Source organism: Homo sapiens, chromosome 19, assembly GCF_000001405.40.
Source record: "Homo sapiens chromosome 19, GRCh38.p14 Primary Assembly".
Lineage (NCBI taxonomy): Eukaryota > Metazoa > Chordata > Mammalia > Primates > Hominidae > Homo > Homo sapiens.
Window position 1 is genome coordinate 20,537,296 of NC_000019.10, and position 20,638 is coordinate 20,557,933.

A 20,638-nucleotide genomic window follows, 5' to 3' on the forward strand; every position below is an offset into this window, starting at 1 on the left:
GTTCACACAACTCTTCTGCCTCAGCCTCCCCAGTAGCTGGGATTACAGGCACCTGCAACCACACCTGGCTAATTTCTTGTATTTTTAGTAGAGATGGGGTTTCACCATGTTGGTCAGGCTGGTCTCGAACTCCAGACCTCAGGTGATCCACCCGCCTCGGCCTCCCAAAATGCTGACATTACAGGCGCGAGCCACCACATTCAGCCTGGTTTTCTATTTTTTTTTTTTTTTTTTTTTTTTGAGACAGAGTCTCATCTGTCGCCCAGGCTGGAGTGCAATGGCATGATCTCGGCTCACTGCAGTCTCTTCCTCCTGGGTTCAAGTGATTCTTCTGCCTCAGCCTCCCAAGTAGCTGGGACTACAGGTGCATGCCACTATGCCCGGCTAATTTTTGTATTTTTAGTAGAGATGGGGTTTCACCATGTTGGCCAGGCTGGTCTCGAACTCCTGACCTCTTGATCCACCCACCTCGGCCTCCCAAAGTGCTGGGATTACAGGCATGAGCCACCGCACCCAGCCCTATTTTTTTTCTAAATTTACTGGTAATATAAAATTCTTCGCTAAGAAGACATGATCTTATTCAAATGTTTTATGAGATTTCATTGATGTCTGAATTATCTGGAATATTAAAATTTTTCATGAACTCAAATCAAGTACTATACATAATCTTTTAGTAAAAGCTTTTCTGAGGCAGAGTAAGATTTATAACATTTTATTATCATATGGAAGAAGTGTATTAACCATGTTTTCAGTAATCACTCTGAACACAGCATTCTCAGTTCACAGTGTAAAAAGTGAAGTAGAGGTTCCTCTTCAAAGACTTTTCTACCTAATTATGAATAGTAACTTCTCTTAGAAGCAAAGTTTATTCAAAGACCTGTGCTAACATTCTTAAATATCTGCTAAGCACAATTAAAAAATCAATGTACTTTATGTTCTTAGCTCCCACAATTTAGCCTAAATATTTGCCCTGGCATGCTTATACTAATCCAAGCAAGCATTAGGTCATAGCCTGTTCCTCCTCCTTATTTGAAGGTATTTTTACCTTTCTCAGCATTCCACAAGTTACTTCCTCCTTCCTTTGTTCTCCTCTGCCTTTGTCTCTTTTAAAAAGTTCTAAGTTGCTAAACAATTGGGACATACAGAATGTGAGGTCCCATTCCAGCCAATGAAAACCAGACACAGCAGTAGGGTGGACACGTCAAGTTATAAATGACTCTGTCTCCTCTGTTCAGTGTACTCGTGGCAAAACTGCTTTCTGCAAAAAGTAAAAATGGCCTTGCTAAGAAAAATTAAATTTATTTTCAAGTGCTATTTCTTTACAGCTCCAGAGAACAAACATTTCTAAAACCATTATGGACCCTGAGTAATTCAGGGGGAATTGGTATCTCTGTAAAGAGACAGTAAGGAAATGCTGAGTGGAGGCACCACACTGCACATCAATGCTTTCCACATGCACCCAATAGAGTCTTAATTTAATTGGGCTGTTATTTGCATAGCTAGATAATTACCAACTTTAGTCATACTATTTTTTAGCAACTAATGGCATCTGTTACCCATTAATTTTATACATTTGCTTTTTTGAAAAACAAATCTTTTGTTAATTCACTCTAAATTGAGACTACATTTACAATCTTCAGTTTTTCAGTGTTAAAGCAAATCAGAGAAGAGCAATGTGTGTACATAATGTGCATTTTCCTGCCTACCAAAATTATTCTGGCTGGGAAAAGTGGCTCATGCCTGTAATCCCAGCACTCTGGGAGGCTGAGGTGGATGGATCACCTGAGGTCAGGAGTTCAAGACAAGCCTGGCTAACATGATGAAATCCCATCTCTACTACAAAAATTATCCGGGCATAATGGCGGGTGCCTGTTATCCCAGCTACTCAGGAGGCTGAGGCGGAAGAATCACTTGAACCAGGGAGGTGGAGGTTGCAGTGAGCTGAGCACGTACCATTGCAGTGCAGCGTGAGTGACAGAGTGAGAATCCTTCTAAAAAAAAAAAAAAGAAATTCTTTCTTCAATTACTTGGAAACCCTGGGAAGCCCCTATAAAATACTCCCTTTGAATACTTTAGCCAGGATTTCAGATTTCAAAAGGTCAAAAACAATCATTGAGCAAAGCTTAAATCTTGCCTTTGTTTCTTGTTAGTCATCTGGCCATTTCTGTAAGTACGGCAATTATGCGAAGCCATTGAAAAAATGTGGTCTTGGTAAATTTTATTCCATTTCAAATGTTTTCTCTAATGTTACCTTGGTCATGTGAATCTAAAAGAAACTATCTACATAACTAATCATGGATTCAAAAAATATTCATATTAATGTGTTTACAGTTTAATCTTGTATTACAGTATAGTAGAATCCTCTATAATTAGAAGTTAATTATTTATAAATTCATTGTTTTTAAGGTTTTTCAAATATGAAAACAGACAATTAGGTATACTTTTTGAAGTAAGTTCAATTTTAGGACATTACCCACTGGTCTTCATGGCATTTCTGTAATAAATAGTGTAAACCTGTGTCACCAGAATGGTGCAGACATGCTGATTGAATTAGAATGAGTTCAGCCTTGTTGGTAGACTATTGGTATCCCAGAGGCTGATCATTCACTACAGCTTACTAAATACTGTTCCATAATGCCAGTGAGCACTTTTACCCAGGTTACCTTTTTCCTCCCATTAATGTGGACCTGTTGTGGTCTCCTGTTTCTCTTAAGCTATCCCAGATGAGAGGTGATTATTTCTTGAATGAATGAGATTCCCTTTTTTTTCCCTCTGCCATAGAATCCTCTTATGTTCCTTACTGGAAGCAACATGGAGGAGGCAGAAATGATGGCAAGATACAAACATTTTTCCCGCCATGTGGCCACCATAAGCAGCTTACAACATGTTCTACCTAGAAGTCACTTACTTTCAGGCCAGCAGGGGTGTTTTTCTGTGATGTGTCTCTTTCTCTTAAAAGCACCTCTGATTAAGTTTAGCACAATCAGGATAATCTCCATTTTGATAAACACAAAGTCTACGGATGAGTAACCTAATTTCATAAGTGATTTCCCACCACAGTCACACATTTTTTTTACACTCAAGAGGAAAGTATGACACAGCACGTGTGCAACAGACTGGTAATCCAGGGTATTATCTTAGAATGTTGCCTACCCACCTAAATAAATGTTTAAAATCATCTTTTGCTGGGCACGGTGGCTCATGATTCTAATACCAGCACCGTGGGAGGCTGAAGCAGGCAGATCATGAGGCCAGGAGTTTGGGACCAGCCTGGCCAACATGATGAAACCCTGTCTCTACTAAAAATACAAAAATTAGTCAGACGTGGTGGTGCATGCCTGTAATCCCAGCTACTTAGGAGGCTGAGGCAGGAGAATTGCTTGAACCCAGGAGGTGGAGGTTGCCATGAGCTGAGATCACGCCACTGCTCTCCAGCCTGGAAGACAGAGCAACACTCCATCATGGAAAAAAAAAAAGAGTCTTTCTGCTGCTTTTGTTATCTACATAAACAAAGATATCAACTGGATATAATAATTAACTACTTTTTAGTTTTATTCATTACAAATAACTATTTTTCTGGCTTAAATTATTTTTTATGCACCATTTATACATTCACACACACATAGAACAATAAAAATATATCCAATTATTCAATTTTGGTTGAATGTTCATTCAAATAAGTGTTAAAAATGATTTTTTTTTCCTGTTTTAAGAGGGCTTTTATTATTGTACTCAAGAGAGTTGTTTCTGGAGACAAAGTTGCCTGTGCTTTAATAGGCAGACTCTGGGGAGAATCCGAATCACAGGCCAGAACATTTTATATTAATAAATTCAATACAAAGCAGAAAGTATAGATTTGCTTTCACCATTTTAAAAGTGTTTAGTTTTGTTAATCACCTAAATAACATAATTTGTTTTGTTGCAGTAATTGCTTTTATTCTGAAAATATGTACAAACCTATACTCACACAAAAACACTCAATTCATAATTTTCTTACACCTCAGGTTTATCTTCAGAGTAATATGTGTATATTTAACTCTATGTAAATTAAAACTAAAAGTCTATGTGTTTGCAGGCAGAGACCACATGTTCAAGGAAAACTATATTACAAGTATTTATAATTTTTCAGGACTCAGAAATGTATGGATTTTATTTTTATTTTATTTTTTGAGATGGAGACTCACTCTGTCAGCCAGGCTGGAGTGCAGTGGCATGATCTCAGCTCACTGCAACCTCTGCCTCCTGGGCTCAAACGATTCTCCTGCCTCAGCCTCCTGGCATGTGCCACCATGCCTAATTTTTGTGTTTTTAGTAGAGACAAGGTTTCACCACGTTGGCCAGGCTGGCCTTGAACTCCTAACCTCAAGCATTCCACCTGTCTCGGCCTCCCAAAGTGCTGGAATTACAGATGTGAGCCACTGTGCCTGGCCGTATTTTATTTACATTTTTGTATAATTATTATGATCATAGAAATAATTCTGTAGTCAATAACAATTTAATTGTACATTTTAAAATGAATAAAAGCATATAATTACACTATTGGTAATACAAAAGATAAATGCTAGAGGTGATGGATACCTTATTTACCATAATGTAATTACTACATATTGTAGGCCTGAGTCAAAAGATGCCATATAAGGCATAAATATATACACATATTATATACCCACGAATACAAATAAAAAATTTAAATAATAAAGAGTCAAAATTTAATCTATGGGAACAATATTTAACTCATTTGCAGTTTAAAGCCACTGACAGTGATTACTAAAGATGTTATTTTACAATGTATGAAATAGTATATTCCTACAATATTGTACCTACACCCTTGAGTAAAGTGGGATACAGTTAGTGGCACAATAATGGTTCATTAAACGCACGGTAGTCTTACCATGGTAAAAATAAAATAAAATTAAGTTCACAAATAATCTAACAAACTTTTTTTTTTTTGAGACAGAGTTTTGCTCTTGTTGCCCAGACTGGAGTGCAATCGCACAATCTTGCCCCACTGCAACCTCTGCCTCCCAGGTTCAAGTGTTTCTCCTGCCTCAGCCTCCTGAGTAGCTGAGATTACAGGCATGCACCACCATGCCTGGCTAATTTTTTTTGTATTTTTAGTAGAGACTGGGTTTCTCCATGTTGGTCAGGCTGGTCTCGAACTCCTGACCTCAGGTGATCTGCCCACCTTGGCCTCCCAAAGTGCTGAAATTACAGGCATGAGCCATCAAGCCCGGCCCTAACAGTTTTAAAATGCACTGCATTTTATTACATAAAAGTACAAGTAGTAAAGTAATATACTCATTTATTTTAATATACTTTTAATTATTTCTTTGTGTCACTATAATAAAGTATTGCTCTGAACATTTACGTTATACATTACTTAATAGAATTTTACTACAAACAGCTTCTCCACTTGTATTTTCATTATGCGTCTTACATTTTAATGTTCTTACTATTTTATAGAAAAAGTCATAATGTCCAAATAATGTAAAAAAATCGAATATCTCTGATGCAGAAGCCACTGATCACATGCTTTCTCACATGTGAATAGAAATAAAATAACAGCATAATTTGAAAGCTGTATTACATCATTATTCAGCTTTCAAAAAATTTTATTCAAGGAAACAAGTATACTTTCAACGTAATTACAATGCTTCCAAAAATCTACTCCTTTTAAAGTTAAATAGAAATCATTTACCTAAAAACTGCAGTTGTGGATTAGTTTTTATATTCAATGCTCTGATTTAGTGTAATGTCTGAAGTGTCGGGGCCTTAGTTATTCTACTGTAAACTCTCTTGATATTTATATACAATCTATTTTGAATTAAATATTTTTTAATATTTACTGCATCTGCAAAATTATATTTTAGCATAAACTCTCTGTTGTTTTCTAAGCTGTAGTTTCTGGGGAAAAAAAAGTGTTTCTAAACTTAATACATTTGTAGGACTCATCTCCAATATAAATTCCCTGATGTTGAACAAACTTGAGCAACTGCTTTAGGATTTTCCTCCAGTACAAAATGTGTGCAATAAGATCTGTGATACTAGTAAATGTACTATGTAACTCCCTTTATATTTGTAATGCTTGTCTTCACAATAAATACTCTTCTTCACTTTAAAGGCTTATACTTGCTGAAAGTTTTGACAGTAATTGCCATTTTAATGCTTTTATTAAAAGGAAGATTTTTATGTTGAGTTAGATGTGAGTAGGAATTAATAGGTTTTCCATATTCCTTCTATTTGTACAATTTTTCTCAAGGATACTAGCTTTTCTGTGAGATAAGGTGTAAGAACTGATTAAAAGTTTTGCCACATTCTTCACACTTGTAGGAGTTTTGCCAGTATGAATTATCCAACCTACAATCAAGAGTGGCAACCATATAAAGGCTTTGTCACATTTTATATATTTCTAGGGTTTCACACTAGTATAATTATTGTTATGTGTAGAGAAGTTGGAGGTGTTCGTAAAAGCAATGTCACATTTTTTAGCTTTGCGGATTTCCTCTTCAACATGAATTATTGCCATGCCTCTTAAGAATTGAGAACTTGTGGCTGGGCGTCGTGGCTCACGCCTGTAATCCCAGCACTTTAGGAGGCCAAGGTGGGTGGATCACCTGAGGTCAGGAGTTCGAGACCAGCCTGGCAAACATGGCGAAGTCGCATCTCTACTAAAAATAAAAAAATTAGCTGGGCATGTTGGAGGACACCTGTAATCCCAGCTACTCAGGAAGCTGAGGTAGGAGAATGGCTTAAACCCAGGAGGCAGAGGTTGCAGTGAGCCGAGATCATGGCACTGTACTCCAGCTTGGATGACAAGCATGAAACTTCATCTCAAAAAAAAAAATATTGAAAACTTGTTATAGGATTTGCCACATTCCTCAAACTTGTAGGATTTTTGTCCAGCATGAATTATGTGTAAGAAGGGTTCAGAACTTCCTAAAAGCGTTGTCACATTCTTTATATTTGTAGGGTTTATGTTCCATATAAATTCTCATATTTAGTAAAAGTTGATAGCTGGTTAAAGGCTTTCCGACATTCATCAAACTCACAGGGTTTCTCTCCAGTACGAATTATCTTATGTCTAGTAAGGGCAGAGGTGTCCTTAAAGGCTTTGCTGCATTTTCTTATTTGTTGGGTTTCTTTCCCGCATGAATTATCTAATGTCTACTAAGGTTTGAGGATGAAATAAAGGCTTTGCCACATTTATCACACTTGTACAGTTTCCCTCCAATATGAATTTTCTTATGTGAAAAAAGCATAGTGGGATAGCTTAAAGCTTTGCCACATTCCTCACATTTATAGTTTCTCTCCAGTATGAATTACCTTATGTGTAGTAAGGGTAGAGGGGCACTTAAAGCCTTTGCCACATTCTTCACATTTGTAGGGTTTCTCTCCAGTATGAATTCTCTTATGTCTAGTAAGGATAAAGGAGCGCTTAAAAGCCTTGCCACATCGTTCACATTTGTAGGGTTTCTCTCCAGTATGAATTCTCTTATGTGCAGTAAGGTGTGAGGACGAGTTGAAGGCTTTGCCACATTCTTCACATTTGTAGGGTTTCTCTCCAGTATGAATTCTCTTATGTGTAGTAAGGATAGAGAAGCACTTAAAGGCCTTGCCACATTCTTCACACTTGAAGGGTTGCTGTCCAGTATGGATTATCTTATGTGTAGTAAGGGAAGAGGAGTACTTAAAGGCTTCGCCACATTCTTCACATTTGTAGGGTTTCTCTCCAGTATGAATTCTCTTATGTGTAGTAAGGTGTGAGGACCAGTTGAAGGCTTTGCCACATTCTTCACATTTGTAGGGTTTCTCTCCACTATGAATTATCTTGTGTGTAGTAAGGGATGAGAAGTACTTAAAGGCTCTGCCACATTCTTCACATTTGTAGGGTTTCTCTCCAGTATGAATTCTTTTATGTGTAGTAAGGACAGAGGGGTGCTTAAAGGCTTTGCCACATTCTTCACATTTGTAGGGTTTCTCTCCGCTATGAATTATCTTATGCGCAGTAAGGATAGAGGAGCGCTTAAAGGCCTTGCCACATTCTTCACATTTGTAGGGTTTCTCTCCAGTATGAATTATCTTATGTGTAGTAAGGTTAGAGGAGCGCTTAAAGGCCTTGCCACATTCTTCACATTTGTAGGGTTTCTCTCCACTATGAATTATCTTATGTGCAGTAAGGTATGAAAACCGGCTAAAGGCTTTGCCACAGTCTTCACATTTGTACCGTTTCTCTCCAGTATGAATTCTCTTATGTGTAGTAAGGTGTGAGGACCAGTTGAAGGCTTTGCCACATTCTTCACATTTGAAGGGTTTCTCCCCAGTATGAATTTTCTTATGTGTAGTAAGGGTTGAAGACTGGTTAAAAGCTTTGCCACATTCTATACATTTGAAAGGTTTTTTTCCAGTATGTCTTATCTTATGTCTGTTTGAATTTGAAAATTTATGAATGACTTTCACATATTTATCACACTGAAATATTTTGCTTTGAGTAGTTGTCAAATATTGGTTAAGTCCATTATAACCTCTTTTGTGCACCTTACACTCATCTACACTTTCACAGCCCTTTTTAAACTGTAAATTGTCATGTCCATAGTTTTCATATCTTCTCAGTGTCACTTTTTGGAAAGAATCTTTTATGCTCTGCTCTGGCCAAAGATCTCGGGCAAAATGAGAACACGTAACTGAAAGAAACAATAAAAGCACATTACTTCAATTGGTAGACTCAGATAAATATACTTTACAGATCTAACCTATATAATTATACAAACTACATAAGCAAGATGACACAGCAAAATACCACAAACTGTAATTTCTTCCTGGATACATAAATGTAACAAAAGTGGACTGCCCAAAATACATTTGTAAAAAATTTATAAGTGAGTTAAGTGTATGAAGGGCCCCAGGTGAGCACAATGCAAAGAGCCACATAGAATAAAAAGAAAATTCTGTTACTTATACCCAACAGAGCTCTTCCTGCTCTCCAGTATAATATTGTGCCTTTAAAAGTAAATTTCCAGTCGGATGCAGTCGCTCATGCCTGTAATCTCAGAACTCTGGGAAGGTGACACATGGGTGGATCATGAGAAATTCGCCCCCATGACCCAAACATATCCCACCAGGTCCCACATCTAACAGTGAGAATTTATATTGCAGCATGAGGTTTGAAGAACATAGACATCCAAACCATATTATAGACCACCTAGGATTCACAGCCACACACAAAACTCTCCAGTCAAAACCAAGATAATACACAGTATTCCTATTTGCATCTGGTGTATTCTGTTAGGACACATATGAAGTTTTATTAAATTAAAAATACTATGTGCTGTAGCTCTTGGCTATAATCCTAACACTTTGGGAGATCCACTGGGGCCAAAAGTTTGAGACCAGCCTGGGCAACATAGTGAGATCCTAATACTACAAACAAGCAAACAATTATCCAGACATGGTAGTGCATATCTACAGTCCTAGATACTCAAAAAACTGAGGAGAAAGGATCACTTGAGTCCAGGAGGCTGAGGTTACAATGAGCCACAATTATGCCACTGCACTGCAGCCTGGGTGACAGTAAGATCTTGTCTCAAAACAACAACAACCAATCATTTTTAAAACACTAAAATTACACACTGTGTGTTTTCTAACAAAAACTGAATGAAACTAGGAATTAAAAGCAAAAGTCAAACTGGCAAATTCTAAAATAAGTGAATATGAAATACACTCTACAACATATTCTTGCTCAGGGGGCAAAAAATTTTATTTTTCAAAGTTGTCAATACAACCTACAGTTAAAACCTACAGTAACATGGCCAGGCATGGTGGCTCATGCCTGTAATCCCAGCACTTTTGGAGGCCGAGGCAGGTGGATCACGAGGTCAGGAGATTGAGACCATCCTGGCTAATATAGTGAAACCCCATCTCTACTAAAAATACAAAAAATTAGCCGGGCATGGTAGCAGGCGCCTGTAGTCCCAGCTACTTCAGAGGCTGAGGCAGGAGAATGGCATGAACCTGGGAGGCGGAGCTTGCAGTAAGCTGAGATTGCGTCACTGCACTCCAGCCAGGGTGACACAGCGAGACTCCGTCTCAAAAAAAAAAAAAAAAAAAAACACCACCTACAGTAACATAAACAATGTGACACTGACACAAAGATAAACAAATGAAAGAACAGAATAGAGAACTCAGAAATGAACCCTTCTGTATATGATCAGATGATCTTCCACAAAGTTGCCATGCATACAAAATAGAAATAATCTCTTCAAAAAATGAAGTTGAAAACTGAATATCAACACTGATAAAGTTGTTTATTTCCTTGAATGACACAATAATACATTTTAAATAAAATGCTTAAACATAAAAATACACAAGTGAGGAAAAGCATTTGAAAGAACATACAAAATCATTAATTTATACAGAAATTAAAAAAACACACAATGACAAGATCAACTTACACCCATTAGGTGCAATAAAAATAAAACCCATGTTGATTGCTGGTGGAAAACAAAGACACAGCCATTATTTTAAAATGTTGTAAATGTTCCTCATTTATAAATCTCTATCCAAAATATGTAACACAGGCCAGGTGCAGTGGCTCAAGCCTGTAATCCTAGCAGTTTGGGAGGCTGAGGTGGGCAGATAACCTGAGGTCAGGTGTTTGTGACCAGCCTGGCCAACACACCATTTCTACTAAAAATAAAAGATTAGCTTGGCGATGTGACGTGCACCTGTAATCCCAGCTACTTGGGAGGCTGAGACAGGAGAATTGCTTAAACCCAGAAGGCAGAGGTTGCAGTGAGCCGAAATCGTGCCACTGTACTTTAGCCTGGGCAACAGAGTGAGACTCCATCTAAAAAAAAAAGGAAAACAACAGCAACAACAAAAATATGCAACACAGGACCTGGAAGATATAATTGAAAATCCATGTGTATTGTACCAGTATTCACAAAAGCCAAAAGGCTGAAGCAACCCAGATGCCTCTTGATTTATAAACATATCAAAAAATGTAACATATACATATGATGAAGTATTATTCCACCTTAGAAAAAACAATCTTGTCAATTTTAAGATGAACTTTGAGAATATTATGTCACCTGAACTAATCCAGTGACAAAATTTTGGATACTGTATGATTCCACATATATGATATATCTTAAGTAGTCAAAATCATAAAATCAGAAAGTGGAAGGTTTGTCTGTCAAAGGCTGGAGAGAGGGTAAAATGAGCAGTTGTTACTTAATGGTCAATGGCTTTTAGTTTTACAAGATGAAAACTTTCTAAAAGTCTTTTGCTTAACAATGTGAATATACTTAACATGACTGAAATGAACAGCTTTTTTTTTTGAGACACGGTCTCACTCTGTCACCCAAGCTGGAGTGTAGTTGTACAATTTTGACTTCCCTTAAATCTCCCAAGTAGCTGGGGCCACAGCTGCACATCACTATGGCTGGCTATTATTATTATTATTTTTTATAGAGAGGTGTCACCATATGTTGCCCTGGCTGGTCTCAAACTGTTGGGCTCCATGGATCCTCCAGTCTTGGCCTCTCAAAATCCTGGGATTACAAATAAGAGCCTCCACCAAGCCTGGCCCTGAAATGCACACTTCAATAGATTTAAGGTGGTAAATTTTATATTACGTGTTTTTAAGCAATTTTTTTTAAAGAAAAACTGAAAAAAAAAAAAAAAAAACAATTATGTATCTTTTTGAAATTTACTTTCAAATCATAGAAGTGTCTCTCACAAAAGCAAATATATATTCATTGTTAAACACATGGTGATAATAAGACTATCTCCATAAGTACTCACTTAGACAAGATAAAACTACCATCAAAAATCAGCTAAGAAAGAATATAAGCCATAACTAAAATTGGGGTCATATTTATAGATAAATACACATACAAATGTAATCTGATTATGATAGATATGCATAATTTATCTCTTAATTAAACCTTAAATTGACTTAAAGTGTACAAAAAGAACTGCAAATTGTCTAAAATTATAATACATAAGTAAAACCAAAACACCCAATAAACTAATCTTAAGAAACCTACACTGAGGCCAGAGGCAGTAGGTCACATCTGTAATCCCAGCACTTTGGGAGACCAAAGTGTGCAAATCCTGAGGCCAGCAGTTCCAGACCACATTGGCCAATATAGTGAAACCCCATCTCTGCTAAAAATACAAAAATTAGCTGAGCATGGTGGCTCATGCCTGTAGTCCCAGCTACCCAGGAGGTCAAGGCAGAAGAATCACTTGAACCTCGGAGGGGTTCAAAACTTCAAAACAACAATAAGAGAAATGTTTACTCATAAAATCTTGTATGCAACATTGAAGTATAATTAAAAAAAAATTGTCAGGCCGGGCACAGTGGCTCAAAACTGTTATCTCAACACTTTGGGAGGCCAAGATGAGCAGATCACCTGAGGTCAGGAGTTCAAGACCAGCCTGGCCGAAGTGGTGAAGCCCCATCTCTACTAAAAATACAAAAATTAGCTGGGGACGGTGACACACGCCTGTAATCCCAGCTACTTGGGAGACTGAGGTATGAGAATAGCTTGAACCCAGGAAGTGGAGGTTGCAGTGAGCCAAGATCATACCACTACACTCCAGCCTGGGTGACAGAGTGTGACTCCATCTCAAAAAAAAAAAAAAAAAAATTCTAGATAACTGCAATATTTAACTGTTGGTGTGTACTCACAAAATGCAAGTATTCTGAATCATTAGCATGCACTGTGTGGCAGTAAAATTTCAGAGATTATGCAGTATAATTATAAATAGAAGATTCTAATGAGAAAATAAATTAGCATTTAAAAGAAACTAGTTCCTTTTAATGTCTTAAATATATGGTATTCTTACACAAAATGAAACTGCTGTAATCAAACATTGGAAGCAAAGAGTACCCTTACATTGTTAAATAAGAAATATATATTTTGTAGAATGGGGTTAGACCCTCTGATATGTAAAACAAATATTAGGAAATAAACTATTTTATTATGGAGATATAGGCTGAAAAAAGTAGATGAACATCCTATAATTCCTTTTTACCTGCAGCAAATTTAAATTTATAAATAACTATTTTAGTAACTATGGGTGCCTACTAATTATGTAATTTACTTCAGGCATATCATGCAAATTCTAGCATATTGTCTTCAATATTTGAATCTAAAATTACAGACAAATCTGAAAGAGAACATAGAAAGTAAAAATATATAGGGAGAGTGACATCAGTAAAATGAAAAGATTAAAAGTGCCCTATTTTCATATTCCCTTACAGCAAAACAAGTCAGCCATCGCTGACAAAAATACCTTTATGAGAGAACCAGGATTATGACTCACACCTGTAATGACAGCTCCATGGAACATTAAGGTTGGAAAATTGCTTCAGGCCAGGATTTTGAGACCAGCCTGGGTCTCAAAGACCAGATCAAAGATGTAGCAAGATGCCATTTCCAAAATAAGTGCCTCTAAGGGAGATTTGAGAGCTAGGGTGGGAGTTGTGAAATGCTGTTAAAGCGTAAGGTTGAGAAGTGTTCTATTCAGAAGGCAGGCTCTCATTCACGTGGGAAACTACAGTACCCCTGTTCATGGCTACAGACCAGGATAGGGTTTACCCAAGTTGGTCCCACAGAGAATTCTGAACTTACTCTGTAACCAGCTCAAACTCCCAGCCACAGTCTGGCAGAGGTCCTGCCATTCCAGAGACCTGGATGAAGGCACCCATTTACAGCAATGTAGGCAGGCTTGCAGACTTTGGCCTTTACTGGGGTCCCTGAAGAGGTTCAATGACTCAGTTTCGGTTACCTGAGCCACAGTTTATGGTCAGTTCTGCCTACATAGAAGCCCACACAATTGGGCCGGGCGGGGTGCCTCATGCCTGTAATTCCAGTACTTTGGGAGGCCGAGGCAGGCAGATCATCTGAGGTCAGGAGTTTGAGACCACCCTTGCCAACATGGTGAAACCCAGTCTCTACCAAAAAAATACAAAAAATTAGCTAGGTGTTGTGGTGAGCACCAGTAATCCCAGCTACCCAGCAGGCTGAGGCAAGAGAACTGCTTGAACCCAGGAGGCGAAGGTTGCAGTGAGCCGAAATCACGCCATTGCACTTTAGCCTGGGCAACATGAGTGAAACCCCATCTCAAAAAAAAAAAAAAAAAAAAAGAAAGAAAGAAAGAAATCCATTGCAATTGAAGAAAAATAAGTAAAAGTTGCTGTTTGTGGATCATACATCTTACATTTTAAAAACCATAAACAGTACATTAAAACCTGTCTAAACTAATGAATACACTGAGTAAATTAGCAAAATATAAAATTAACACACAAGTACATGTATTGTTTCATACGCTTAAAACAAACTATCTGATAAAATAGAGGAAGAAAAAATCTTATTTAATATAGCATTAAATAATAAATTTCTGAGAAAAAAATTAACCAAGAAGGTAAGAAAATGTTTACAATAAAAAAATGAAAAAATTAGAAGATCCAAACAAATTTTAAAATATTTTATGTCTAGGGATTGAAAGAATAAATATTATTAAAGTTTCATATTATCCAAAGTGATCTATAGATTGCATAAACGTCCTGTCAAAATTGCAGTGTTTTTTTTTTACAGAAATGGAAAATACAATTCTAAAATTTACATGAAAATAAACTCTGAATAGCCAAAGCAATCTTGAAAAAAAAAAAGAACAAAGCAGAAGGATATCATACGTATAATTTCAAACTATATTTCAAGACTATAATAGTAATAAAAATAGAAAGGACTACATAGAAAAATAAACAAAAAAATTGGACAGAAACTACTACTCTCACACATCAGACCTGATGCAAAAAGAGAAATAATTCTCAAAATCATGCAGATATTTGTGTGTCCCCAAAACAATGAAAAAGCAGCCAGACTGTGCAGTATTTTATATGCCATGAAGAGGACTCTGGCTCTCACTGTGAACTTGAAGGGAGCTCACCGAAAGAAAAGTAGAATTTTTACAGAATTTAAAAGCATAAGCAGAAGATGCCCCTTTATAAGAGCAAAATTTAAAAAAGAAAAAAAAAAAAAAAACAGCTCCCAGGAACTATTTTCTTTGGAGCACAGCTTCCCAAATCACACTTTAAGGACTGGCTTTCTCTTTGACTTTGGGACCTCTTATCTGTGTCGTCTGCTATATTCATTTTCACTTGCACCTACCTGAGGGGTTGGCTACCATCTCATGTTTCTTCATGGTCAAAGGTTTTTTTCCTTGCTCCAGACAGGTGATGAGGTCTGGCTTAGAGACAACAATACCTGTTTTATTAAAAATAAATAACATGAATCTTGCTCATATTCTCCAATTACAAGCTAGTAATGTGCTCGCAAAGACAATGTAATAAAATATTATAGTAAATTAATACCAAAATACAAATTTATAACAGAAATTTCTAAATATTTAGAAAATACTTTAAATTTGCCAGGTGCAGTTACTCACGCCTGTAATCCCAGCACTTTGGGAGGCCAAGGTGGGTGAATCACGAGGTCATGAGTTAGAGACCAGCCTGGCCAGCATGGTGAAACCCCATCTCTACTAAAAATACAAACATTAGCCAAACACGGTGACTTGCCCCTGTAGTCCCAGATACTCATGAGGCTGAGGCAGAAGAATTGCTTCAACCTGGGAGGTGGATGTTTCAGTAAGCTGAGATCACACCACTGCACTCCAGCCTGGGTGACAGAGTGAGACTCTGTCCCCGAAAAAAAAAAAAAAAAAAAAGAAAAAGAAAGAAAATACTTTCAATTTGTAGGTTTCTTAATTTTCCTTCCTGGTACTACTGAATCAAAAATTGGTGGTGGCATTTAGATTTTCAGGTGGAAGCTACAATAGTTTATGTCAGTAAATTTCTGGAATTACCACTAATTTGGAGTGAAGATTACAGCTCACCTCACAAATATGGAAAATTTGGATTAAGATGAAACATCTTGAAGAAATTTTTTTCTTTTCTTTTTTTTTCCCCTTGAGACAAAATCTTGCTCTGTTGCCTGGGCTGGAGTGCAATGGCATTATTTCGACTCACTGCAACCTCCGCCTCCTGGGTTCAAGGTATTCTCCTGCCTCACCTTCCCAATTAGCTGGGATTACAGGCATGTGCCACCATGCCCGGCTAATTTCTTGTACTTTTAGTAGAAATGGGGTTTCACCATGTTGGCCAGGCTGATCTTGAACTCCTAGCCTCAGGTAATACCCCCACCTCAGCCTCCCAAAGTGCTGGGATTACAGGCATGAGGCACCAAAGAAATTATTTTCTAAATGAACAAATTCTGAAGATTTTCTTGAAAAAGTGGATCTGAAACTCTTTTATAAAAGAATAAATTACTAAAAAAATTCTACAAGAGAGAGAAATAAAGTCTTTTGTGTATATTATGAATTATGTATTAAAGTTTTTCTCACCAAGGAAGACCAGGTTTCTGTAGTTCTCTAACATCACATTCCTATATAAATTCCGCTGTGCAGTGTCCAGGCAATGCCACTCCTCCAGAGAGAATTCTATGGCCACGTCTCTAAATTGCAATGGCCCCTGAAACACACACACAACATACGTTTTTACCAAGTAGCCAAGGGTGGAATTTTTAATTTGACTTAAGTTCAAATGAGAGAGTAAAGACAAATGGTTCTGACTTATAGGACTGACTAAAATTATCCAATAAAATAACTTTCAACACAGAAATATTCTCTAAAGTATTCTCTGAGAAAAAAGAACAGCATAAGATCCACAACATCAGTTCATGTATTTTTCTAGATAGTAAAGTGTAAAATTAAGGGTATGAACACGAACATGTACATTTTTGAGTGCTATGTTTACATCATATGGAATGAGCTGTGAATATTTTTCAGATGACAAAGACATGTTGAGTTTAGAAGGCACCTCTAAAATTTAAATATATACAATAAGTTGAAGACCTTGTTATGCAGGGTTTTTTTCCAGAAGATCTGGAATAAAGTTTGATTTTTTGAATTTCTAACAAGCTCACCAATGATGTCAATGTTTTTGGCCCAAGAAGGATATTTTGTCAAACATCCAGTAAGTGGAAGAGCCTGTTTTTCCCAGTTTTTCTGGCCTGTAAACAAAGATAAGAGTCTTCATTTTCCAAAGAAAAATATGTAGAAAAAATTAAGAAAAAAGGACAACTGCCAGATTAAATGTGGTGGTTTATTCACATCAGCTGCATAAAGATACTTAATAATGAAGAGAAAAATAATCAGCTACATAGTGAAAAATATCTGTCACAGAGCTATTTAAGCAAGTGAATCATTAACCATTAACTTCACTAGAAGAAATTTTTATGTTGTGCTAATGCACATAGAAGAACACAGCATCACTGTTGAAATATTCCTCTTTTAAAAAAGTAAATAAAATCTGATTCAATCATAAAGAACCATCAGTTTTATGCAAACCTCAAAATACAGATAACTCCTGTGTTCTGTAATTTTTAGTAGTAATTTTAAATAGACTTCATTTAGCACCCTAAAGAGCAGGTATGTCCTAATAAGTTTTTTCAGAACTTTCTGGGTAATAAATGGCATCCCATTTAAATAAGCATTTCTTTTTTTTTTTTTTTTTGAGGCAAAGTCTCACTCTTGTCCCCCAGGCTGGAGTGCAATGGCATGATCTTGGCTCACTGCAACCTCCGCCTCCTGTGTTCAAGTGGGTCTCCTGCCTCAGCTTCCCGAGTAGCTGGGATTACAGGTGCCTGCCACCACGCCCGGCTAGTTTTTGTATTTTTAGTAGAGACAGAGTTCCACCACGTTGGCCAGGCTGGTCTCGATCTCCTGACCTCAGGTGATCTGCCCACCTCGACCTTCCAAGGTGCTGGAATTACAGGCATGAGCCATTGCGCCCAATCTAAATAAGGAATTTCTTTTCTTTTCTTTTCTTTTTTTTGATATGGAAAATCACTCTGTTGCCCAGGCTGGAGTGCAGTGGCGCAACCTTGGCTCACTGCAACCTCTGCTTCCCAGGTTCAAGCTATTCTGCTGCCTCAGCCTCCTGAGGAGCTGGGATTGCAGGCACCCACTGCCATGCCTGGCTAATTTTTTGCATTTTTAATAGAGACGGGGTTTCACTGTGTTAGCCAGGATGGTCTCAATCTCCTGACCTCGGGATCTGCCCGCTTCAGCCTCCCAAAGTGCTGGGATTACAGGCATGAGCCACTGCACCCGGCCAATAAGCAATTTCTTAATCCTGTTCGGCATACAGCTAATGGAACACACTAATGGAGCCTCAACATTACATGTTCTCCATCTTTACTAAGGACCACAGTTTTCCCCAATAGAACATGAGAAGTTATGATGTAGAGAATGAAGAAAAGGCTCTGGGATACAGCAAAGAAACATTTTTCAGACACCTTTGACTATCGTAAGAATTTTAAGAAGTACTTAAACCAAACTCCTTAGGGAGGAGAAACACAAGTAGAGAAGTAAAGGTTTGTGAGTACTAAACGCATGGCAGTCCAGAAGGCAGAGTGGACACAGCTTTTCAGCTGAGGCACGTTTACCTAAAGAAAAGCCTTTTTTTTTTGTTCTCCTATCTCCTCCTTCACTGGAATTCCTTCTCAGATGAGATTCTTTGGACAAATTACACCTGAATCTTGAGAATATGCCTTTAAAGGTGTCAGTACCACAAGTATACCTGCTAGCATGACATCAACTGGCAGAAAAAGACAGAAAAATCCACCCATTTCTGTCCTTTAAAACAGAAGAGGTTCAGGAAAAATGAGCTGCTCCATAAAGATGAAAATATAAGTTTCTCCTTTCCTGTCCTCAGGGGCCCTCCCCTACCACAGACACCATCCATTTCTGCTACAGTAATGGAAATATGTGCCACTGACCTGTCCCTACCAAACCCAAACAGAACAGACCCTGTGGCCACCCTTTAGTGCAAAGGTGGAACTTAACGCTCATGAATGTATTTTGCAGCCTTCATACCTGATTCTGGCCTCACCTTACAGTCACATAAGGCCCTTCGTTAAAACAACATGGATGCTTCCACCCAGAACAATAAACAGAAGCTGTGGGGAGGGCACAAGAGATTTCTGCAAATTGGCCATGTGATCCTAATGAGAGGCCTGGGCTGATAACCACTAAGCTAAGCATTGCCTCTCAAGCTTTAACGAGCTAAGCTAAGCATTGCCTCTCAAGCTTTAACGAGCTTATAATTCACTTGGTAATTTTAGCTCCACTTTATGTAATGTGATTCTGCAGGTTTGAAAAGGGTCCATGAATGGGTGTTTCAAAAACAAGTTCCCTGTCAATGCTGATGTTGCTCCCCATTGGCTCATTATTACCATTAGTCAGAGAAGCAGTCACAGCACATAGTCCCTTATACTTAGCACTCTTGTCACAACCAAATACTTCTCATACAAACAAGGACAACCCATCTCCATCCTAAAGTTTTATATTATTTGATGGCTCTTTAAAGTTTACAGAGGAAACAAGGCAGCAATGTCTGAATAAGTCTGTTTTTAAAAAACAACATGTACACATGTACTAATGCACTGTTTGTTAAACAGGTACTATGTGCACAATAGTATGATACAGAGCACTGTGCTGGGTATAACACATTAGGTGATTTAATTCTCATAACACCCGGGGAGCTGGTACTAAGGGTTTAATAGTTTTCAAGATTTAGTTAAAGGGCCCAGCATTTTTATTTCTTCTTCTGTTTCTCTCTCATCAATTTTTTAAAATTGTACAGAATAAAAGCTAAATATAGCCAGATGAAAGAGATAGAAAGAAAGAGGTTAATGTAGTTTAGACAATTTTATTCTGTTTATATTTACTTTTTTGTGACTTATGGAGCAACTACTGGATCTGCAGGAATAGAAAACAAGTTTCTAAATAAATGTCTCCGCAAGCACTGGTTTTAATAGAAGATTAAAAAACTAGGACCCTAAAATACATACTTTATTTATCCCATTTATCTGTTTGTGGTTTCAGGAAATTGTGAGCACCAGCTCTAGAAAGGCAGCAGGATTCACCAGCCAAAACTTTGATCTCTTCTAATCAGTTATCTGAAGCAAGACTACAAGATAGGGTCAGACCTAAATAAGGCCTCCAAAAAGGGTGAATCTGAACAGGTCTGGGTCTGGCTCAGGGTGAGGACCCTATGTAAAATTCTGCTCTCTATGTCACTGCAGTACTACCAGTTTTGTTTTTTCTAAGCTTACCTAAAAAAAAAAAAAAAGAAAACTTAAATCCCAGAGTTTCTGTAATTTTAGTATTTTCTAGCCACTGCCCTGTCAACTTTGTACTACATTCTAATACGCAATTTAAACAAATCCTTTAAGGTTTTCTAGGGTAATTTTTTTTTTTTTTTTGAGATGCAGTCTCCCTCTGTCACACAGGCTGGTGTGCAGTGGTGCCATCTCTGCTCACTACAGCCTCTGCCTCCAGGGTTCAAGTGATTCTTCTCTCTCAGCCTCCTGAGTAGCTGGAACTACAGGTGCATGCCACCACGCCCAGCTAATTTTTGTATTATTAGTAGAGACAGCATTTCACCATATTAGCCAGGCTGGTCCCAAACTCCTGACCTTGTGATCCACCTGCCTCGGCCCCACAAAGTGCTGGGATTACAGGCATGAGCAACCATGCCCAGCTTTTCTAGGGTAATTTTATT

General features: G+C 37.7%; 1 protein-coding gene and 1 long non-coding RNA gene across 10 annotated transcripts in view; one reads left to right on the forward strand and one right to left on the reverse strand.

Annotated features, from left to right (window-relative positions):
• LOC105372316 (uncharacterized) overlaps positions 1 to 20,638 on the forward strand; it is a 98,054-nt gene that overhangs the window by 64,254 nt on the left and 13,162 nt on the right. The window lies entirely within an intron of this gene.
• The window catches only part of ZNF737 (zinc finger protein 737), a 35,506-nt gene that overhangs the window by 7,020 nt on the left and 7,848 nt on the right, over positions 1 to 20,638 (reverse strand). For 4 of the 9 annotated variants that reach the window (XM_006722597.5, XM_005259697.5, XM_011527598.4 and 1 more), the window contains exons 2-4: positions 16,414 to 16,540; positions 15,180 to 15,275; positions 7,324 to 8,681 (exon numbers count right to left, since the gene is read on the reverse strand). In XM_006722597.5, the coding sequence (XP_006722660.1) occupies positions 7,324 to 8,681; positions 15,180 to 15,275; positions 16,414 to 16,540 (1,581 nt within the window). Of the gene's footprint in view, positions 1 to 696; positions 8,682 to 15,179; positions 15,276 to 16,413; positions 16,541 to 16,994; positions 17,082 to 20,638 lie in introns of those variants that run through there. The other 5 variants (XM_047438008.1, XM_017026117.3, XM_047438007.1 and 2 more) reach the window with 4 other exon arrangements.